The sequence below is a fragment of the Homo sapiens genome, chromosome 1, assembly GCF_000001405.40.
Source record: "Homo sapiens chromosome 1, GRCh38.p14 Primary Assembly".
NCBI lineage: Eukaryota > Metazoa > Chordata > Mammalia > Primates > Hominidae > Homo > Homo sapiens.
Genome location: NC_000001.11, coordinates 86,287,608 through 86,312,853, shown reverse-complemented (window position 1 = coordinate 86,312,853; position 25,246 = coordinate 86,287,608). Strand labels below are relative to the sequence as shown.

General features: G+C 36.9%; 1 long non-coding RNA gene across 2 annotated transcripts in view; it reads left to right on the top strand.

Moving 5' to 3' along the window:
- The window catches only part of LINC02795 (long intergenic non-protein coding RNA 2795), a 30,895-nt gene extending 6,748 nt beyond the window's left edge, over nucleotides 1-24,147 (top strand). For both annotated transcript variants that reach the window (NR_187380.1, NR_187379.1), the window contains one exon: nucleotides 23,715-24,147. This is a non-coding gene — a long non-coding RNA (long intergenic non-protein coding RNA 2795). The remainder of the gene's footprint in view (nucleotides 1-23,714) is intronic.
- Nucleotides 24,148-25,246: the final 1,099 nt, after the last annotated feature.

Here is a 25,246-nt window from a genome sequence, read left to right as displayed (position 1 = left end):
CTGAGGCAATCTAGTTGATTCAGTTTGCTTTACTTAATGTGACTGTATCCATAATACCTTATTTAACTGTTTTACAACTTGTCCAGTGAAACAAGTAGATCTATTGCTGGAGTTTTCTCCAGGAATACGCCATGAGGGAAACACATTTTCTAATAACTTTTTAGCTACTCTTGTAGCCTTCCTATATGGGAAAGCTTCTGTACAACCAGAAAACATGCAGTGAAAATGGCAATTTAATGAAATCCCTTTATAAATGACCCAACAGATTGAAGAAATGTACCTGAAGTTTTGGTTGTCTTATCAGGATTATGGCTTTGACAAATCAAAAATTAATCATCAACCATTACAGAAATTTAGAATAGTCACCACACCAATATTTTTTCCCATAATTTGGATCATTGTATCTCTTCCATGTTGAGTCATGGAGTGGAAAGCTTACAGTGAAGCTTCAGGGACTCAGGAAGCAGTCCAGGCTCCATGAGTCCATGCTTAACATTGGGTTTATAGCCTCTTAAATTCCAGTTTTGTTTCTCTAACTTAGGTGTGTAGCACTCTTTGTTAAATATGTTATCATAGGTAATTTGACCTGGACCATGGAGTTTATTGGAATTGCATATCTTAACAATTTCAGTACTTATAAACTTAGTATGAAAATCTGCAAACATATTTCCTTGGTATTTAATTAATTCTAGTCTGCTTGGGTAAGCAATTTCATAAACCAGTTTCTTCATTAGAGTTCTGATATGATCCTAAAGTAATCAGAAACCTGTATTCAAAAGTGCTTGTCAGGGTCCTTTCCATCCTTTCCATGAACCTCCTTGAAGACATAACACTTCAGGATTATAATTGCTTGTAAAGAGCTTTCAGAAAAGGCAGCAGAATTAATCAATTAACTAGAGACAACAAGACCTAAAATGGTTATAATTAAAGACATAATTGACAAGAAAGTTTAATTTTTTATGTGGCCTACAATAATTTAACATAATAACCATAGTATCATGACTGATAACATATACCATGACATGTCAGAATTTTAGAAATCTCATACTATTTTTGGAAAACAATATAACTGAGAAAAAGGCTAAACATCATTTCTTATTTGACAATGCTTCCCATATAATTAAACATATCAAATAAGCCTATTTATTATATCTCTTTTGAATGCTTCAAGGGCTCTCTGTAGCATCCGAAGGTTAGTTTGAAGTCAAAAAGACTTAATTTTTCTTTTGAAATTTGATGTTGGGAAGCCTGTCAAATATGTCAAAGGTTTAAAATACTTGATCAAAATAGGATCACAGATCACTCTGAAATAATAATCATTCATTTAGCCAAATTGATAATTGAAAGTTTTAAAAAGCAAAAACCTTTACTCTTTGATAGAGGGAAGACCTAATTTTCCAAATAATTAAAAGACCTACAAAAGACATCATGAAGCATGTAAATCTGTTTCTCTTTCTCTCCCCTCCCACTCTCACCTTTTGCAGTTTACTCAAAAGGTGAACAAAAAATCTTTTACTATCTCTTATTATATTACAGAAAAATCTTTAAAAAATTTTCCCCATGATATAGTCTCAGGAGGTCCTGAGAACCTATGCCCCAGAAAAATCTTGTTTAAAGGAGAAAACCAAATTCTCATTTCGTACTAGTGTAATTTTGATAGTAATGCTGTTTTTAGAAAAAACTTATAATTCCCTTCCAATTTTAGCCAGCTTAATTGCACATAAAATTCTTTTCACAAGATTCATCTTTCATAAACTTTCTACAACCTTTTCTCTTTTTCATTTTGGGACAACTAATCATCCTATTTCAAGACAAAAATTCCTTTTGTTTCCCTTAACTAAAACACATCTTTCATGTAAGCTTCACTTACCAAAAACATGTCTTACTTTCCTTGCATAAGGAGTTGTTTTAATTACCATATGTTAATTAGATTTTTAAAACTGTAGTAACCTTAATTTATCATGAAAACCTAGGACATAAGCAACTTTGAACTGTTTTATATCAACATTTTGTCAATGGTAACCATTTCATAATTTTTAGAACCATGTTTCCTCGTAACAAAATTTTTTGTTTATTTACAAACCCAAATATACTTAGCTTCTCCATACCATATAAAAATAAATTAAATGTATAAACTTAAATTTATGCTTAATAATTAGTGTTTCAGTGTTTTAACTGACTTAGAAATGGCCCAGACATTTAATAAGTATCTATTACTTAATTTAATATGACTTGAAGGTTCAAAATTGTTAAAAAGGATTTTTGAAATTATTACAAGTTCATTTATAAACTTTTATTCATGACACATCAGATTTGATTTTCTCATTCTTAACAAATATAGCTGAGTTGCTCATTAAACAAAGCTAGCCATTGAAAGATGTTACTTAACTTCTCTGTGCTTCAGTTTCTCATCTACAAAGGAGAAAATAATTATCCCTGTTTTCTAGGGTGCTTGTAAGGATTAAACAAGATTACATACTGGTAGCATTTAGAACAAGGCTTGACATATAGTAGCTATTTCAGACTAACTGTGGGTAACTTCTTACTATTACTGGCATCATCACCATCATCTTATCTCCCTGCCTCCTTTCCTTTGTGGCAATCTTTGTGAGCTGTAATTACATTGGTTATTTACTCACTGATTGTCTGCAGCACGTATAGCACGGTAGAATGCAAGGCCCCATAGTAGGATGCAAGGTAGAGGGAAAGAGCCTCCTCTACCTTGTTGATTTCTCTCCCCTTTACATCTCCTTTGAGCTTGGAGCACAGTAGGTCTCAATAAATTAGACATTTCAACTATTCTCTTTATCTTGTACTACATTTGTCATTGTTGACCATGCCATTCTTCTTGAAACGCTCTTTTTTTTCCTTTCCTCACCTTCCTCTGCCCATATTTTTAAATGCCAGGATATGTCTCTTTGAGGTTAAAGGACAGAACAGAGGCATGAGTGGTGGTTGAGACCGGGTGAGGTACTGGGTATCCAGTGGAGCTGGTGAGAGAAGGAAGGATGCCTGGGGCTGCTGATCATAATTGAAGAGGAGAACATTGGACTGAGCCAACAGGGTGAAGTTGGGAGTAAAGGGCTTGGGCTTACTTTTAAGGCTCTAGATTAACTCAGTATGGATTAGGCCCCCCTATGCATCAGACTGAGCTGGCATTAGATAAGAAACATAAACAAGATATGGTCTGTGCCAACAAGGATATCAAAATATAGATGTGGATAGACAAAATATAAACAAATACTTGAAATTCACTATAGGAAGAGCTGTGTAGAGATGTGTGCAAGGTGCTGTGCTGGTAATGAAGGGAGTGAAATCTGCTGTCTTGGGGCCCTGGGATAGAGAGAGGAGTAGAAATATGAAGTGAGCCTTGAATATATCACACCAACCAGGGAAAGAAAACTCAAGCTTTTTTGTGGATTGATTTGATAGATAAAGCTACTACTTAATCTTGAGAATTCTTAATATTGAATTCTACGTGCCAATTTTAGAAGGGAGAGAGGGTAGATGGTTATTTGGGATGGCGGTATGGGTGAGTTGACTGGGGGTAGATGGATAGGTAGAAGACTGGGAGATGGATGCCAAGAAATCCCATAGAGATTTTGGATGATATTGCTTTACTAAAGTTCTGCTTGGACAATATACCCAGATGCAATAGTGCCCTGGGAAAGCCATCCACATCTTCCTATGTACCAATTTCAGATTTTATTATGATAACAGTAGTTATTGATATCTACTGTGAACCTGACATTATTCTAGGTTCTTTTTATATATTATCTCTAACTACCCTAGAAGAACAGTTTGAGGAAATTGAGACTTAGAGAAGTTACTTACCAAAGGTAACACAGAAAGTAGATGGCCTGGATTCAAACCTCGATTTACATAAATCTAAAGCTCATGTTTTTCCTACTGTATCACAAGGATGATTCCTACTTTTTTCTGAGCAAGGACACAATTTGTTTCTGTGCCCACTTGCAAACCTAATCACTGGTCTGCTTCAAGAATTCTCTCCAACTCTTGGAATATAAAGGGCAGCTAGGAATGACACTGCTATTCCATTTCCATGATGCCTCTCCTTTAATACAAATGATTTTTCTTCTAACACTGAATGACCTTTGGCAATATCAAATGCTTTCTTTTGTGTTTGGAATGGTGGCCACCACCACAGTCAATTTACTTCTGACATCTATTTCATGCCTCTCCAGAGAGAATTATCAGCTGTGGTTTCTGTTATTTGCAATTAAGACCTTCTGGTTGTGCTAAGTATTAAGGAAATTATTACCAGCTATTAGGTGGTTTAAAAAATCATTAAAGTGGCTAAAAGAGCAGGCTCTAGGCTGCGCGTCTAAGAAAAACTCCCCATTTCCAAAATCACCCAGCTTTTGCATGGCCAAAAATCTCACATTCTCCTCCCGATATTTTGGCAGGAAACTGATAACAGGAGGCCCTTGATGCCACAATCAGCAGGCATAAAATGGAATGCTTTCTTTCCACTAAGCACCAGCTTCATGAGCAGGTGATCTGTGCATTCTCTCAGGGCCCCCATGCATGGAGTTTAGTGCTCTGTGGTTACTATCATGAAATTCTTTTTTTTTTTTTTTTTTTTTTTTTTTTTTTTTTGAGACGGAGTCTCGCTCTATCTCCCAGGCTAGAGTGCAGTGGCATGATCTTGGCTCGCTGCAAGCTCCACCTCCTGGGTTCACGCCATTCTCCTGCCTCAGCCTCCTGAGTAGCTGGGACTACAGGCACCTGCCACCTTGCCCGGCTAATTTTTTGTATTTTCAGTAGAGACGGGGTTTCACCATATTAGCCAGGACGGTCTCAATCTCCTGACCTCGTGATCTGCCCGCCTCGGCCTCCCAAAGTGCTGGGATTACAGGCGTGAGCCACCGCGCCCGGCCACCATCATGAAATTCTTAAAAATTTATCTTTTAATTTGTGTTTTAAAAGTGATGTCCTTTGGGACAATAGAGTATGTACTGGGAGACCTTAGGTCTTCTTCTTGCCACCTTCCTGTGACAGCTTCTCAGCCAACAGCTCCCCTAACCCACACTTCCCCTTCCTGGGCATGATCCACCAATCACTGCCTCCCTCCACCCCTGGTTGAGCCCTAGGCATGGACAGGAAGAAGATCGGGGTTAGAGTCAGGTGCATGCTCCCAGAGCATCTCTATGCAGGACAGGGTAGGAGAGGGCAAGGCAGTGGCAGTCCTTGCCCCAGGCTGGTAGCATCATGGAATATTCAGTGGGTGACTTGGCAAGGGCACACCTCTTGTCTCCATCCAGGTGTCTCATTTATCCATACATGAAGGTGATAATACTCTCAGGGGTCACCCAACAACCTTGAGTTGCTATGGCCAGTGGAAAGAAAAAGATGCCTGATTGAACTTCCGGAGCCTTTGGTCTTGCAGCGGGTAGGAGGGAAACCTCATAGCCAGTGGGCTGCACATATGCCAGATTATAAGCAATGGTGAGGATCTGCCCGCATACCTGCATACCTGAGTATCCTCACATTCCTGGGACTACAAACACCCTGATAGATGGTGAGAAAGACCAGGGGAAGAAGAAAGGAAGAAAAAGTTTTTTTCCTGCCTTTCGTACAGAGGTCTTCACACTTTAATTTTGTACTGGGTCTTCCAAATTATGTGGCAAGCCATTGTCTCCACTTAATTTAGTTACAATCCAAGTCTTTTGAGTGCATCTGATTGGTGGAATCCAAATCACACCCTAAACTCTGATTATAAGGGAGTCTGGGAAATATAGTTTCTAGCTTTCCAAACTCAGGAGTACTGGAAGGAGGCTGGAATGTATATTGAGTAAGGCAATCCATTTTAGATGCGCTATTACCCCCACCATGGCTCTGGCAAAGAGTGGTACCCTAAGGTCTATGGGGCAGGGGCTGCATCTAGCTCATTCACTCCTCCATCCCCAGTTCAGGCTATAAGTCCTGTCACATAGTATGATCACAATAGTTGTAGAATTGAATTGCAAATCATCCATTTTCATATGCTATATTTATGAACCTATATATTTAATGGTATAACTTCTCTTGCCATTGTTCATATTAGCTGGAGCTCTTCATTACCAGTGGCAAATTCATATATAAAATACAGTGAGTTAGGGAAAAAAAGCAGGTAACTGAATTCTACTTAGTGATTTCTTTTCATGTACTGGGCATAGCTAATGCAAACAGGGTACCATATGTCCACTGCACTTAATAAATTAAGTCACTTTCTAGGTCAGTATGAAAACATTATTAATGTTTATCTAGTCACAGAAACCACTAATATGAAATTACATTCCTTCCAGTCTTCACCTTTCAATGTTCACAAGCTGGGATTAATTTCAAAGGGAACAAGTTTCTGGCTGAGGTATATTAAGGGTGGGCAAATCACTCTTAGAATATTCAATGGAAAAATTAGTTTGATTTAAAACAGGAGTGCCCTGAGCAAAATCAAACTTTTCTTAATACTTCTCATCATCTCCAAAATGGAAAGTAAGGATATTTCCCCCAGAATGTTTTAATTAAAAAGTGTTTTGGAATATGCGTGTGTGTATAAAAATGTCTCTTAATTACAAAGATATAAAGTTAAAGATTTTACCTGAGATTTAATTAATAGTCTATGTAGTTTTGGAGTGGATGATGGTGAGGACAGCTGGGAATTTGATGGACAGTCTGATCATCCAAAGCAACACAGGAAGCAAGCTGCACCTTTCAGAACTTCCCCGACTATCCAAGAAGTGGTGGAGGGTAGAGGGCTTGCTCCAAAAATTTTGTACATTCAGTAGGATAAAAGAGGTCTTTGGAATCTCCATCTTTAGAGGCTCTGCTCAGGGGTTGTATTGTGGTAATCTGGCCTGACAGTCTGACAAGTCCTGAAATAGATCTAGTCATAACTCAGAGCATATGAGTTGCTTTACGGGAATCAATGAGCCAATTGTGCATGGTTACCGGTTGTGATGGCCTGGAGGTACAGTCTGGCCCTTGAGCAAAAGTAGGGAGTCAGAGAATTCTGGTTTCATTCAGGCAATGTGGAGCAGATAATGTTGACTTTTATTATCCAGGTAATCTTGTCTTCCACATCAACTTGACTGCAGGATTTACCCTAATCTATTTTGCCTCTAAAGAAAATAGTTATATGTAGAAAGTATAACTATAATACAACTATATAATTACAATAAAGGTTATCCCCCTGGATAACCCAGGGTAATTTCCTCATCTCAAAATTCGTAATTCAACTATATCTTAAAAGCACTTTTTGTGATATAAGGTAACATTCATAGGTTCCAGGGATTAAGGCATGGATATCTTTTGGGAGGAGCCATTATTCAGCCTAACAAATACACGACCTGAGGATTCACTAAAACACGATCCTAATTACTACCTATTTTCTTATTTTTTATCTATTTGTTACAGAATGACAGACAGAAGGAAGACTACTTATTTTTTTTTGAATTGTTATCATACACCTATAGTGATATAATCAGTACCAGGTGTTTTTTGTTGTTGTTGTTTTATGTTAAGAAACATGGTCTTGCTCTGTCACCCAGGCTCAAATGCTGTGGCGTGATCATAGTTCACTGTAACCTCGAATTCCTGGGCTCAAGTGTACTTCAGCCTCTGGAGTAGCTAAAACTACTAGCACGTGCCACCATGCCAAGCTAATTTTTAAAATTATTTTTGTGGAGATGGGGTCTCCCTATATTGCCCAGGCTAGTCTTGACCTCCTGGCCTCAAGTGATCCTCCTGCTTCAGCCTCTCAAAGTGTTGGGATTACAGGTGTGAGACACTGTGCTCAACCCAATACCATGTTTTGAAAGAAGTTTATTTTAAAAAGAGTTGTTTGGGGGAACATCTGAGAACACAGTTTCTGTTTTTAAATATCCAGACTGATTTACAAGTCTTCAAAAATCCTGAGGGTAGGATTTGAATGAAATTTAATTATGGTTCTGCTGTATATGTTATTGAACTCCCTAAATCATCATGTGTTTCTGGGTGTTTTTGATCAGCCATGTGGAAGCTATAAGACCTGGAATCTGGAGTGAATCAACACTATTTAATTTGGATCACCCTGGGACTGATAGGTTACACTTTGAGCTAGATTAAGGCTGAATTAATAAACATTTTTTGATGAATTTACACCCAACAGGTCATTTAATATGTCCTGACCTTGAGCATAGCTATTGAATTATTATTGCTGAAGTTTAAATGGACAGGCAGGTAGCTTGTTTTGGGATCCAAACTTTAAATATAAGGACAATCTGAGCTTTGTTCATTATTGTAAGATTCTGAGTACCATGTATCTCACTAAACATTTTTAAATTTGTCCTATTTTTGTAAAATATTTTGGTAAATTAGAAAATGTATCTTTAGAGCTCATAAACTCTCTTGGACTTGACTATTTTCTGCTGTTTAAAATGTTAATTACAGCCACCAATTACTGTACTTGGGACTTGTAGTTCTAGTTCTTTTAGGGGAAACATGCCTTCAACACACCTAGAACTTCTATTGAGCATAGACTCTATGACAGCGATGATGTGAGGGGCAGAATGGATATGAAGATATCTAAGACTTGGTCCCTGCTATCTCTAGTCTGTGAGCTCTGGACTGGGGCCAAGTTTTATTTAACTTTAATCTCCAGCATCTATCCCACTTTGCAGCACATAGTCAGTTCACACTGCCAGCTTGCAGTCAGCTCACATTTCTTCATTAAATGGACATTTGTTTAATGAAATTTTTGTTCAGTAAGTAGTTATTGAATGAACAGTCTAGAAATTGAGCGGGTAATGAAATCAAATAACTGAGATAGAATGCTTATATCTTTAAATTACTTCTGAGTGAGGTATTGGAGGTCTCAGCAGGGCACTCTGGGACCCCAGAGAATGGAGCTACCAAATCAGCCAAGGAGACAGTCATGTGATTCAAGTCCTAGAGAAAAAGAGTCCAAATCACTGATGCACCGCTTGTCTTAATGTACTTGTTTTTTTCTCTATTTAGTTTAGATGGCCTGATTCTCACTGGGTCTCCATAATAGTGTTTCATGGAATGTGGAGTTTGTCTCTGCCCCAGCTCCTAGCTGCTTATGCTGGAAGGAGCAGGGGGGGAGTGAGTGCATGGGGGAGAGATGGGGAGCAGAACCAGCACACAGCACAGCCCTTGCAGGGAGAAAAGAGACTAGCGAGAGACTAGGAGCAGAATGCCTGGGAAACAGAGCAAGGAGGAAGCTGGGGCTACTTCTTATTTCTAAGAAGAATGTATTTATGCAAAGTGGTTATATTTGGGGATATATTCTGTATGAGTGGGTATTCTCTGAATGTATCTTTCTCTTTATGACCCACATCCTCCCTCTTATTGGAATCAGCAAATGAGCTGAGCCTCCTTCCCATCTTGCCCCTAGCAGAGGTCTCCTATCTCTGTCCCCAGCTCTTTCCAGCTGCAGCAGCAGGAAGCTGGGTAAAGATAAATTAAACATTCCTTAAAATGCTGCTATGAAAAAAAAATAAAAACTGATCAACTAGAAGTTTACATAAATATTTAAAAGCTATTAAAAAGATCTCATTCAATGTGAATTGCTGTAAACTTTATAAAGAGTTCTAAGGAAGAAGAAAATTTGGCAAACTGTCCTTGTGGAAAATTGGCTTTCTGCAGTTTGATTTTTGGCAAATTTACTCAAAAGCAGTCTTGAAGAATTAATACACATTCATCTAGAACAGAAAAGCAAATATTGTGAGTGAAAAAATATACATAAACATAGATAAAGATTAAAAATATAAGTAAAATGACCATGTACAACTTTGGCATTCAAGAAAAATCTAGATGGAATAGATTGTTTATGCTAACCAAAATTAAGAAAAGGACAACAATCTGAATAAATCAATAACCATAAAAGAATTTTAAAATATTTAAAATTTACTTTTTAGAGGTACCAGATCCAGTAGATTTATCTGACTCCTATAATAGATCATCAACAAAGATGGCACAAAAATATCAAAGCATGTAGCCCAATCTCAGATATGATGATGAAAAAGTCCCCCCAAAACTTTAAATATATCAAATCCAGAGCATTAACAAATAACAGAATGTGATAATAAACTGTGATTTAGTAGGGTTTTCCCTCTGTGATGCAAGAATAGTTTGAAATAGGAAGTCCATTAATATAATTAACTATATAACAGATTCAAAGGGAAAAATATAATAAAATATATTTATTTCTATAAATATTAAAATATAAAATTTGCCATTCCTTCCTGATAAAAACACATGGCAAGAAAAGATAACTCGCTTACTATGATAAAAAAGACTTTTTACACAAATCAGCAACTACAAAAACAAATATTATGCCTGGTACTAAAACCTAGAGGCTTTCTCATTAAAGTGAAGAATAAGACAAAGAAACAGTAACACTATTCAGAATATTTCACTTCTTCTTCTTCCAGGCATCTTATAGATTGCACTATTCCACCCCTTTGACATTTACATTTGAGGTGGCTTGTTTTAGCCAATAGGTTGCAGCCAGAAATGCTGTGTTTCCTTTAAGGTCAGAGTAATTATTTCTGGCTGGAGACCGCTACTGCTCCCTATTCTGGTTATAGAAGCATGTGTGCAGAAGGAGTTTCCATGGCAGGAGTAAGTCCTTACTTAATAATAACATCGAATGTGAATGGACTAAACTCTCCAATTAAAAGACACAGAGACTGGCTGAATGGATGAGAAAACAAGACCCATTGATCTGTTGCCTACTAAACACACACACACACACACACTTCGCCTGTAAAGACATGTATAGACTGAAAATAAAGGGATGGAAAAATACTCCATGCCAATGGAAACCAAAAAAGAGGAGGAGTCGCTATACTTATATCAGACAAGATAGATTTCAAGACAAAAACTATAAGAAGAGATGAAGAAGGTCACTATGTAATGATAAAGTGGTCAATTCATCAAGAGGATATAAGAATTTTAAATATATATGCACCCAACACTGGAACACCTAGATATATAAAGGAAATGTTATTAGAGCTAAAGAGAGAGATAAGCTCCAATACAATAACAGATGGAGATTTCAACACCCCACTTCCAGCATTGGACAGATCTTCCAGACAGAAAGTCAACAAATATCAGTTTAATCTGCACTAGAGACCAAATGGACCTAATAGATATTTACACAACATTTTATCCAAGAGCTGCAGAATATGCATTGTTTTCTCCAGCACATGGATCATTCTCAAGACAGACCATAGGTAAGGTCATAAAACTAATCTTAAAACATTAAAAAATTGAAATAATATCAAGTGTCTTCTCTAACCACAATGGAATAAAACTAGAAATTAGTAACAAGAGGATTTTGAAAACTATACAAATACATGGAAATATAACAATATGCTCCCGAATGACCAGTGGATCAATGAAGAAATTAAGAAGGAAATTGGAAACTTTTTTGAAACAAATGATAATAGAAACACAACATACCAAAACCTATGGGATACAGCAAAAGCAGTATTAACAGGGAAGTTTACAGCTATAACTGCCTACACCAAAAAAGAGGAAAAACTTCAAATGAACAGTCTAATGATGCATCTTAAAGAATTAGAAAAGCAAGAGCAAACTAAACCCAAAATTAGTAGAAGAAATAGTAAAGATTAGTGTGGAAATAAATGAATTTGAAATGAAAAAGCAATGAAACAAAAAGTCGGTTTTTTGAAAACTTAAAGAAAATCGACAGACCTTTAGCCAGACTAAGAAAAAAAAAGACGATCAAAATAAATATAATCAGAAATAAAAAAGGAGATACTACAAATGATACCACAGAAATTCAAAGGATCATTAGTGGCTGCTATGAGAAACTATATGCCAACAAATTGGAAAATCTAGAAGAAATAGACAAAGTACTAGATGCATACAACCTACCAAGATTGAAGCAGGAAGAAATCCAAAACCCGAACAGACCAATAACAAGTAATGAGATTGAAGCCTTAATAAAAAGTCTTCCAGTAAAGAAAAACTGGAGACCTGATGGATTCACTGTTGAACTTTACCAAACATTTAAAGAAGAACTAATACTAATCCTACTCAAGTTATTCAGAAAAATGCAGGAGTGAGGGAATCCTTCCAAGCTCATTCTGCAAGGCCAGTATTACCTTAATACCAAAACCAGACAAAGACACATTAAAAAAAATAAAAAAGAAAAGAAAAGAAAACTACAGGGCAATGTTGCTGATGAATATTGATGCAGAAATCCTCAATAAAATACTAGAAAACCAAACTCAACAATACTTTAGAAAGATTATTCATCATGACAAAGTGGGATTTACCCCTGGGATGCAAGGACGGTTCAACATATGCAAATTAATAAATGTGATATCAACAGAATGAAGGATAAAAACCATATGATCATTTCAATTGATGCTGAAAAGGCATTTGATAAAATTAAACATCTCTTCATGATAAAAGTCCTCTAAAAACTTGGTATAGAAGGAACACCCTTCAACATAATAAACACCATATGTGACAGACCCACAGCTAGTATCATACTGAATGGGGAAAAACTGAAAGCCTTTCCTCTAAAATCCTGAACATGACAAGATGTCCACTGTCACCACTGTTATTCAACATAGTTCTGGAAGCCCTATCTAGGGCAATCTGACAAGAGAAAGATAGATATAAAGGGAGTCCAAATTGGAAAACAAGAAGTCAAATTATCCTTGTTCGCAGATGATATGATGTTATATTTGGAATAACCTAATGACTCCACCTAAACAAAGAAATAAAAAAGTAATCCCAATTACAACAGCCACACATAAAATTAAATACCTAGGAGTTAACCAAAGAAATGAAAGATCTCTGTAATGAAAACTATAAAACACTAAAGAAAAAATTGAAGAGGACAACAAAAAATTGAAAAATATTTCATGTTCCTGAATTGGAAGAATCAATATTGTTAAAATGTCCATACTACCCAAAGCAGTTTACAGATTTAATGCCATCCCTATCAAAGTACCAATGACATTATTCACAGAAATAGAAAAAAATCCTAAAATTTACATAGAACCACGAAAGACCCAGAATAGCCAAAGCTATCCTACACAGAAACAACAAAACAGGAGGAATCACATTATCTGACTTCAAAATATACTACAGAGATATGGTAACCAAAATAGCATGGTATTGGCGTAACAAAAGACATATAGACCAATGGAACAGAATAGAGAACCCAGAAATAAATCCACACACCTACAGTGAACTCATTTTTGTCAAAGGTGCCAAGAACATACACTGGGAAAAAGATAGTATCTTCAGTAAATGATTTTGGGAAAACTGGATATCCATATGCCAAAGAATGAAACTAGACCTCTATCTTTCCATATACAAAAATCAAATCAAAATGGATTAAATGCTTATAAATATAAGACTTCAAACTATGAAACTACTATGGGAAAACATTGGGGGATATCTCCTAGACATTGGTCTGGGCAAAGATTTCTTAAGCAATGCCCCACAAACACAGGGAGCTAAAGCAAAATTAGACAAATGGGATCATATCAAGTTAAAAATCTTCTGTACAGCAAAGGATACAATTAATAAAAAGACAACCACAGAATGGGAGAAAATATTTGCAAACTACCCATCTGACAAGGAATAATAATCAGAATCTGTAAGGAGCTCAAACAACTATATGGGAAAAATTTAATCACCCAATAAAAAATGAGCAAAAGGCATATGAAAAACTGCTCAGCAGCACTGACCATCAGAGAAATGCAAATCAAAACTATAATGAGAAATCATCTCACCTGAGTTAAAATGGCTTATATCCAAAAGACAGGCAATAACAAATGCTGGTGAGGATGTGGAGAAAAGGGAACCATTGTACACTGTTGGTGAGAATGTAAATTAGTACAACCACTATGGAGAACAGTTTGGAGGTTCCTCAAAACACTAAAAATGGAGCTATCATATGATCCAGCAATCCCATTACTGGGTATATACCCAAAAGAAAGGAAATTAGTATATTGAAGAGATATCTCCACTCTTATGTTTGTTGCAGCACTGTTTACAATAGCTAATATTTGGAAGCAACCGAAGTGTCCATCAATAGGTGAATGGATAAAGAAAATGTGGTACATATGCACAATGGAGTACTGTTTAGCCATAGAAAGAATGAGATCTAATCATCTGCAGCAACATGAATGGAACTGGAGGTGATTATGTTAAGTAAAATAAACCAGGCACAGAAAGACAAACATCACATGTTCTCACTTATTTGTGGGATCTAAAAATCAAATCAATTTAACTCATGGACATAAAGAGTAGAAGGATGGTTATCAGAGGCTAGGAAGGGTAGTGGGAGGTTGGGCCGGGGGTAGGTAGGGATGGTTAACGGGTACAAAAAATAGAAAGAATTAATAAGATCTAGTATTTGATAGCACAGAAGGGTGAATATAGTCAACAATAACAACTGTACATTTTAAAAATAACTTAAAGTGTATAACTGGATTATTTGTAACTCAAAGGATAAATGCTTCGGGGATGGGTATTTTATTCTCCATGAAGTGCTTATTTCACATTGCATGCCTGCATCAAAACATCTCATGTACCTCATAAATATATATGCTTAGTATGTACCCACAAAAATTAAAAAATATTTAACTCTATATAACATGGAAGAAAGGAAATAAAGAAGAAAGAGAGAGAGAAAGGAAGGGATAAGGGAAGTTAGAGCACTATTAAAACTTTGCTAAGGGCTGGCAAGGCTGTGGAGAAATAGGAAGTTTTTACACCGTTGGTGGGAGTGTAAATTAGTTCAACCATTGTGGAAGACAGTGTGGCAATTCCTCAAGGATCTAGAACCAGGAATACCATTTGACCTAGCAATCCCATTACTGGGTATATACCCACAAAGGATTATAAATCATTCTACTATAAAGACACACACACACATATGCTTACTGCAGCACTATTTACAATAGCAAAGACTTGGAACCAACCCAAATGCCCATCAATGATAGACTGGATAAAGAAAACGTGGCACATATACATCATGGAATACTATGCAGCCATAAAAAAGAATGAGTTCATGTCCTTTTCAGGGACATAGATGAAGCTGGAAACCATCATTCTTAGCAAACTAACACAGGAACAGAAAACCAAACACTGCATGTTCTCACTCATAAGTGGGAGTTGGACAATGAGAACACATGGACACAGAGAGGGGACCATCACACACTGGGGCCTGTTGGGGGGTGGGGGCAAGGGGAGGGAGGGCATTAGGACAAATACCTAATGCATATGGGGCTTAAAACCTAGATGATGGGTTAAGTGCAGCAAACAACCATGGCACATGTATACCTATGTAACAAACCTGCACATTCTGCACATGTATCCCAAAACTTAAAGTAAAAACAAACAAAACAACAACAACAAAAAAAAACCTTTGCTAAGGAACAAAATAAATAAATGGACAGACGTGCCTATTCCTAGCTAGGATCTGGTGAGGTAAATTTCTCTCCAAATTATTCAGTATAGTATGTAATTCTGCAATGACAGAACAGACAATGGCTAGTTTGTGCTAAACATGATGAGAGTAAAGGGATGATAAGAAGTATTAACTTAAAAATCACTATGTATAACAATGTATAAATTTAGAAAAAGAGAGATTTATTTCCTTTTTTTCTTTTTTGGTTCCTCATCATTCAGTTGGATGAGCTTATGAGCTTTATTTCTTAAGAAGGAGATTACAACCTCCAGGCAGGAAGCACAACCACCATCTAAAAAAAGCACTTTGAGGCAGAGGCGGATGGAACAGGGATTCCTTTTGAATGGGTTGGCCAAGTATACATATTCAACAGGTTACAGGAGGAGCTATTAATATTCATGAAGGTGGTCCTCATGCATATTACACACCACCCATGTTCACTTAGGGGTGGAAGATTAACATTTAAATGTATTACAGCTAGGCCAAAAGGTGAAGCAGGGACACGAAGGCATTCCAGTGTGCAGTCTCTGTAAAACCCACCAGAACCAGTTCATAATAAGTGATCTCTCATCAGAAGAAAGTTACAGAAATCAGTCTGTTGTCCAATCAAGGCTCGTGGAACAGGGTGTCAGTTAGTGAGCATCTGGTGGTGAGTTGCAATTGTTTTAATATTGTTTATTTCAAGGCCAGTGCTTGTTTAGCTTCTAGAGAAAAAGAAAAACCTTGTAGCACTTTGCACGTAGTTTATTCTTTAACTGTAGGGTGTATGATTTAATCTTTCTCTGGCATGGCCTTAGGTCCTATTTATAATCTGGTATCTTATTTCCACAAAAAGTCCATTCTGTCAGTCATATGATATCTATTTTGACATTACTGCTGGTCAGTTGTGTCTAAACCACAAAAGGAGGCGGGTGTAACAAGGGGTGTCGGGCCTCCCATCCTGTCATGGCTGGGAACTAAATTTGTAAGGTTTCTCCGGAGTCCCCTTGGCCAAGGGGGCAGGGTCCATCCAGTCAGTTTGAGGGACTTAGGATTTTATTTTTAGTTTATAGAAGCAAGAGGATTTCTGAAGAATGTAATTATTTAACTGCAAAGCTGGGGAGAAGTAGCAAGAAAGCATTCTCTGAAAAGACGTGTCAAAAAAAAGGCCACTTTTTTCTAGAACTGTTGCTAATCATTGTGAGCTGTGTTGTTTGAGTGAGAGAAGGCATACCGATCACAGAAAGACTATATTTGTCCCTTCCACTCTCCTCCCTACAGTTGACTGAATGTTAGTAACAAAGTGACTCTGGAAGATCTGTTCCCACCATTCTGCATTTCTCCTGCAATCTTGTGGTGGATCTTGGAGAGTCACTCTTACTTAACACAGAGGCAATGGGGTTGGTAACAGGTGAAACAAGCAAATAAATTTTTTTTTGAAAAAGTATAACATGAGAGGACTTACCTACTAGGTATGAAAACACACTATAAAGCTTTATTACTATTATTGTTTTTAATGACATTTATTGAAGGCTTACTGTGTGCTGGACACTGTGCTATGTTTTACATACCTGATGTCATTTAATTATCTTCCAAACCTTATGAAGTAGATAGCATTTTTAAGACCTAATACTTAGAGGAAGAAACTGAGGCCTAGAAAAGATACATTTGCAAAAAATTAAATAGCCAGTAAACAATGAAAATATAATTCTAATCTAGACATTATAACTCTAAAGCCATTTTTATCATTACTATCAATATAGTTTTGACTACATAAAAGAGGAACAGTAGAACAGAGAAGAGTTTAAAAACAAAATAGCCATATCTATGGGATTTCACCATATGATAAAATTGACATTTACATCAATTTAATAATTATTGCTAGACAATTGGCTATTCACTGAAAAGTAACTATTATCTCTCATACCAGAAAAAGTTATAATTCAGAAATTTAAAAAAAATTAATATAAAAAGGTAGAAATAGTACTAAAAAAATATAGAACATACAGCATCTGGTGGCCATAAAAAATAAGTCAGGGACCAGGTAGGTAAAGGTTGCAGTGAGCTGTGATCAAGTTACTGCACTCTAGCCTAGGTGACAGAGTGAGACCCTGTCTCAAAAAAAAAAAAAAACCCAAAGCACCAAATTAGTGAGGGTTGGTACATGAGTGGAAGCCTATTTGCTACTTCTCCACAAAAACTGAGAATGAGTGAAAAGAAAAAGTTTTAAATTAAGAAGTTTCAAACTTTGGCTGGAGACTGTTAAAACATTCTCCAAGAAGTATGAGGAGAAGGAAATATTTATTTTCCAATGCAAATTCAATCATTTCTTTTATTATTGACCTTGTTCGATACATATGGATAAAAAAAATCCTGCATTGGTTAGAATCAAAGGACACAGTCCCTGAATGACATAATATAAGAAAAATAGGCTGGGCATGGTGGCTTATTCCTGTAATTCCAACACTTTGGGAGGCCGAGGCAGGTGGATCACAAGGTCAGGAGTTCGGGACCCACCTGGTCAACATAGTAAAACCCCGTCTCTACTAAAAATACAAAAAATTAGCCAGGCATGGTAGCTGGCAGCTGTAATCCCAGCTACTTGGGAGGCTGAGACAGGAGAATCGCTTGAACCTAGGAGGCGGAGGCTGCAGCGAGCCGAGATAGCACCACTGCACTCCAGCCCAGGCGACAGTGCGAGACACCGTCTCAAAAACAAAACGAAAAAAAAACAAAAAAAGAGAATGAGAATAGCAAAATTTGACTAAAAATCTTGATCAATGACACCATTTATTTAAAAATTGTATTACTTACATTACCTTGAAGCTATAAAACAGGGGTCAAAATAGATTGTGGGAATTTCTATTTCTAATCAAGATGGAGTAACAGGAACCAGATTCTTCTTACTACCTGTGACAACCAAAAAAAAAAAATTAATTAATTAGAAAAAGGACAACATACAACATACAGGACACAATAGTTCTCAGGATGCTGGACATTGGGGAAAAAAAGACAGTAACCCCAAGAGACAGGAAACAAGCAAGATGAGCCCTACAGTTGCCCCAGCTTACTGTCTTGAGGGAATTTCCAGGATGAAGTGCTAAGAGGGGAAATGCAGGAGAGTGCAGTGGGCTCTGAGTTGAGGAGACAGAGCTGAGAGTCCAGGGAGACTAAGATGGCCAGAGTCATAGGACAGAGTACTGGAGAGCAGAGACCTGCAAAGAGAGAGAACTTCAGAGATCTACAAAGGGTTCCTCTCAAGTATTCAGATGAGTACAGATTACCACTTGCCTGTGAGGAAACTGGGTGAAGCTCAGGAAAGAAATCCCTAAACATATTAGAGGAACCGGTGCCCAATGCTCACACAAGGCTGAGAGTAATGCCCATTCCCACCATCCAGACTGGAAAACCCCATAATTCACAGGACATTTGCTACAGTGCACAGTAGGGTCTTGCCTCACTGGAGAATAAGTAGCTCTCCACTGAGTATTGCTCTGGGCCAGCCTAACAAACCTGAAAGGATAAAACTGTTTCCAACCATCTCAGAACAAAGCTCAAGAATACTTGTAGGAGTACAGAAATATCCAGCACCCAATGAAACAAAATTTACAATGCCTGGTAGTCGGTTAAAAGTTACAAGTCAAAGAAACAAGAAAATCCAAACCGTATTTGGAAAACTTATCACCCAATTGAAACAACTCAGAATTTATACAATGTTAGAATTATTAGACAAGGACACTAAAGTTATCAGAATTACATTTTATATGTTTATAAAGTTAAGGTGAAACATGAAAGATATTTTGAAAAACAAAATTAAAACAAAACACATTGAACTCTAAAGATAAAAGCTGCAGTGGACTCACAGAAGATTAGACATTGAAGAATAAAAGAGTAGTGAATTTGAAGACATAGCAATAGAAATGATCCTAAATGAGGCACAGAGAGAAGAGAATTAAAAAGAGGAAAGGGCATCAGTGAGCTGTGGGACAATTTCAAACATCCTAATGTGTGTGTAATGAGTCTCCAAAGGAGAAGAGAAAAGAGGAAATAGAAAAATAAACTCTTAAAAATACATTTTCCAAATTTGATGAAAACTCAAAACTCATAGACTCAGGAAGCTCAACAAACCCCAAGCATAGGAAACATGAAGAAAACTACACCCATGTGCATCATAATCAAGGTGCTCAAAACCAATGATAAAGAGAAAATCATAAAAAGCAGCCAAAGAAGAAAGACATGATACATGTGGAGGAACAAAGATAAGGATGACAGTATAATTTTTATTGGAAATTGCAAATGAATTCACTGTGAGGCAACATCGTTAAATTACTGAAAGAAAAAAAAGTCAACCTAAAATTCTATATTTAGAATTCTATACCCAGAAAAAAATCTTTAAAAAACAAAGGTGAAATAAAGACTTTCTAGATATAAAAAACTGAAAGAATTCATCATCAGTGGATCATCAGCACTACAGTAAATGCTAAAAGGTGTCCTTCAGACGAAAGGAAAATTGTTAGCTATATAAAAAAGGATACATCATAGTGACAGCATTAAAGGATATGTGTTACAGTCAAAAGCTTCAAAGAAAAGGATCTGGAGAGGCTGGAGGTAAGCTCCAAATATTCTCCCTCTACAGAGAGTACTTTCCTCCTAATATCAAAAACAAGATCACAATGTCCACTTCTTCCACTTCTGTTCAACATTGGGTTAGATGTTCTAGCCATTGCAATGAGGCAAGAAAAAGAGTAACAGGCAGACAGACTAAGTAGGAAGGAACAACAATTCACAGACATGATAATCTACGTAGAAAATCCATGGAAATCTACAAAGAAACTTACTAGAACTAATGACTTTAGCAAGGTCACAAGACACAAGATCAATATACAAAAGTATCTCTACATACTAGTAAAAATATTATTTACAATAGCAGCAGAAAACATGAACTAACAAAGGTTGTGAAAGACTTGCACATTGAAAACTACAAAATAGTGGTGAGAGAAATTAAAGAAAGCCTAAATAGAGAGATATGGGCTGAGTGCAGTGGCTCATGCCTGTAATTTCAGCACTTTGGGAGGCCAAGGCAGGCAGATCAGTTAAGGCCAGGAGTTCGAGACCAGGCTGGCCAATATGGCAAAATCCCATCTCTACTAAAAATACAAAAATTAACCAGGTGTAATGGCACATGCCTGTAATCTCAGCTACTCAAGAGGCTGAGGCATGAGGATGCTTTGAACTTGGGAGGCAGAGGTTGCAGTAAGCCAAGATCGTACCACTATACTCCAGCCTAGGCGACAGAGCGAGACTCTGTCTCAAAAACAAAACAAAAACTAACTAATAAATAAATAGAAATGTCTTGCTCATGGGTCAGAAAATTCACCCTGCCCCCTCCATTAATGTATAGATTTAATGAAATTCCGATCATAATCCTGAAAGTCTCTTTTGTAGGTATTGATAAAAACAATTATAAAATTTACTTTGAAATGCAAAGACCTAGAATAGCCAAAACAATGTTGAAAAAGAACAAAGTTAGAGGACTAACACTACCTGATTTTAAGGTTTATTATAATGCTAAAGTAAGCAAGACTAGTGGTACTAGTGCAAAGATAAAGAAATGAATCAGTAGAAAAAAATGGAGCGCCCAGAAGTACACCCACCAATTTTTGAACAACTAATTTCAAGTCTTTTTAGCAAAAGTTGAAGAAAAGGAACCTCAATCCATTCCTTAACACCATTTACACAAATTCACCAAAAATGGATCATAGACCTAAACCTGAAACCTAAAACTATAGAACTTCTAGAAGGAAACATAGAAAGAAAATCTTTGCTGCTTTGGATTAGGCCAAGATTTCTTAGACACAGCACTGAAAGCATGATCTATAGAGGAAATATGATATATTGAAATTCATCAAAGTTAAAAACTTCTATTTCTTGAAAGAAAGAAAATGCAAGCTACAGAGAAAATACTTGCAAATCATATATCTGATATATCATCTATATGATATATTTGAATAAACTTGTATCCAAAATATATAAATAACTCTCAAGATTTAATGTAAGAAGGCAAATGAACTAATTAAAAAATGGGCAAAAGATTTGATCAGATTCCTCACCAAAGATTATATATAAGTCTGTTTTCTCATTGCTATAAAGAAATACATGAGACTGGGTAATTTATTAAGAAAAGAGGTTTAATTGGCTCATAGTTGTGCAGGCTGTACAGGAAGTATGACGCTAGTATCTGCTGGGCTTCCAGGGAGGCTCAGCTGGAGGCATCTCACATGGTGGGAGCAGGAACAAGAGAAGTGAGGGGAAGTGCCACACACTTTTAAATAACCAGATCTCACAGGAACTCACTATCACGAGAACAGCACCAACGGGATGGTACTAAACCATTCACAAGAAATCCACCCCAATGATCAAATCACCTGCCACCAGGCCCCACCTCCAATATTGGGGATTACACTTCGACACAATTTTTGGTCGGGCACACAGACCTAAACCACGTCAGGAGACAATATGAATAGAAAACAAACATATGAAAATATATTTAATACTATTAGTCATTAAAGACATGCAAATTAAAACCACAATGGATAGCACCACTCATTGTCAGAATCACTAAAATTTAAAAGATTGACCATACCAATATAAAGGAACTAGAATTCTCAGGCACTGCTGCTGAGAATGTAAAATGATACAACCACTTTGGAAAACAGTTTCTAAGTTTCTTTGGTTCCTAACACCATACAAACACTTGTATATAAAAGTTCTTCGCAGCTTTACTTGTAATAGCTAAAAGCTGAAAATAACCCAAATGTCTATAAACAGATGAATAGATAAACAGCTGGGTTACACTTATGTAATAGAATACTTCTCAGCAATAAAGCAGAATGAATTGTTGATATATGCTATAGCAGAATTATGCTGAGTAAAATTTAAAAGGTCAAAAAAGCATACATACTGTGTGATTCCATTCATTTAAAATTCTAGAAAATGCAAATTAATCTAGAGTGGCATAAATTAGATCAGCAGTTTCCTGGGCATCTGGACTTTAAAATTATGGAGGGGAATGAGGAAACTTTTTTGGGTGATGGACATGTTCATTATCTTGATTGTGATGATGGTTTGGTGAATGTGTATATATGTCAAAACTAATCAAATTGTATACTTTAAATATACGTGACTTGTTATATGTGAATTATACCTGAATAAAACTGTTTTATTTTTAAAAAGTTTGTATCTAAAAGGATAGTAAAACTACTCTCTTCTGAAGGCCAGATTTCTATACTCCTCAATTCTCTGGTGTAGAGATATGCATCCAGAATTTTTTTTAAAGCATGATGGAATGGCTTTGACAAAGCTATAGCACTCTGGCTAAATTCCTTATTTCCTAGGTGACCTTTTAAACTCTCATGCAGAGCCTTTTGATTCTACTTAGCACATTTCAATTAAGCTTGATAAGTTATAAACAATACATTTGAAGAGAGAATGGGACATAAAAATATTTGAGGGAGTCCCAGTGAAAAGTGATTATCATTACTGCAGGAAGTGAAAAGAATTTTGGAAAGTAGCTGGAATTTCACTCTGAAAGCATTATCTAGTAATGACTATTCATTGAGATAACCACGGAGAGCATCTTTTGTTTAATAAGTAAGGTTAAAATGTATGGACTACAAAAAGATTTATGTCAAAAATAAGATGAAAAAGGTTTTCAACTCTAAAGAGATGGTTCTTGGTTATGTGAAAATCTGATTTAGATGGCATACCTTGTTGACCCAGAATGAAATGCTTTTGAGGAAAGTCTTGAATATTACAGAAAGTAGTTGGATTCAAACTAAGTAAAATATTGGAAAGAATGTGAAAGAATATTCCAGCATTAGAGGCAAAATAGAAAGGTTCACTCCAATCCTTTTCCCTTTATGAATGTGCATGTGTCTTTGGTTTCCTAAAGTGCTTTTTGTGTTTAAATTGACAGGAAGGGAAGAACAAGTCTTAATGCCTTATGGCTCCAAGATCTGTTTTCCAGTCATTTCACATATGGCTCAGAATGTTAATAATGGAAAGTTGATCTATGTTGACTACTTGCCAACTTTATTACTTAAACTCATTCCTTGACAATACATCTTGTCCTTTCAAGGACAATTCTGGAATTAGGCTCAGAATTCTGACAGTATGACTCTTCTGTTACTGAAAATTACATCTATCATTTAAAGCATTTTATCATGCTAAACCTGTAACAAAAATTTTTGAAACATCACATTTCTAGGAACTCCTAAAGAAGAAATCATCCATTCAGTGAGAGCAAATGAACACTCCAACAGACTGAAACAAAGCATCTTTACAGGAGATGTGAATGCGAGAAAGCAAAGAGAACTACAGTCAGGGTCTCCGCTGGCATGGCCCAAGCCCACCGTGGCATGATCCAGAGAGACGAGTCAGCAGAGCACTATGGGCAGCTCCCATACTCTTCGCAGATCAACAAGCCAGCATATAACCCAGGGAGATAGATAATAGTGATGCTGTGCTCTGTAGAGGGTAGTGGCAACAGTGGGATTTCTTCTGGAATAAATCTGTAGTGAGCCAGATGTTTCTGCTGACTATATTACTTCTGACAGTGTATAATCCAAAATTGTTTCCTTGGCCTTCCAAAAAGTTTTATAAGCTCCCTAACGGCTGCAATAAATCCCTTTCTTCTTAAACTAGCTAGAGTGGATTTTTGTTCTCTACAAAACAGATCCTGCCACTAAGAACCCCACTAGTATTTGTTGCCATGATTAGGGAATAAGTTAAACCACTGTAAGGGGGGAAAAGCAGCTCCAAGTACAAGGGCTTAAATGTGTTAGAAGCTTCTTTCTCATATCACAATTCAAGATGAATACCTGGGCCATGCTCCATAAAGTCATCTAGATACCCAGGTTGCTGGGGCAACTCTGCCATCTTCTACATTTGGCTTTTCTCTCTAGGTCAAAAGTGTTTTCTCCAGTGATCATTAACTTCACTGGTTCCACATTCCAGGCCACAGAACGGAACAAAAGAAAATATGAAGGGCAAACAACTTTATTTTGAAAAACGTAAAGCAGAAGTCGTTGCTAAAACTTAGGCCCGGCGGGTGGCTGACATCTGTAATTCCAGCACTTCGGGAGGTCAAGGCAAGAGGATCACTTGAGCCCAAGAGTTTAAGACCAGCCTGGGCAACACAGGGAGATACGTTCTCTACAAGAATTAAAATAAAAAATGAAATAAATTAGCCAGGTGTGGTGATGCATGCCTGTAGTCCCAGCTACTTGGGAAGTTGAGGTGGGAGGATCTCTTGAGCACTGATCAAGGCTGCAATGAGCTATGATCACACCACTGCATTCCAGCCTGGGTGACAGAGCATGACCCTGTCTCAAAAAATAAAATAAAACCTAGAAGCTAAACCCAAACTCAAAGCCTTCTCAAGAGAATGTGGAAAATGTAACCTGTAACTGGAGTAGCCATTAATCTAGCCAAAACTTGATGGGCATGGGGTGTTCTCTTAGTAAAAGAAGAAAAGAGAAATGGACATGGGAAAAATTCCAAAACTTTATTCAAGAGGACATCATCAGCTTTTGAGACTTCAGTTGTCCCGGGCAAATGGGCTCTTACTCCCCTCTCTTTTCTTAAAGCAAAAATACCTGCAGGAAGCCGCAGAGCAGTGGAAAGATCAGAAAGCGTACTCCTCAGTCCCTCTACCTAAGTAGCAGTGAGATGGCCATAGCTATTTTTACCCTCTTACTAGAAATAAAACATTTAGATTTTGAAACACCAACTCCTCCT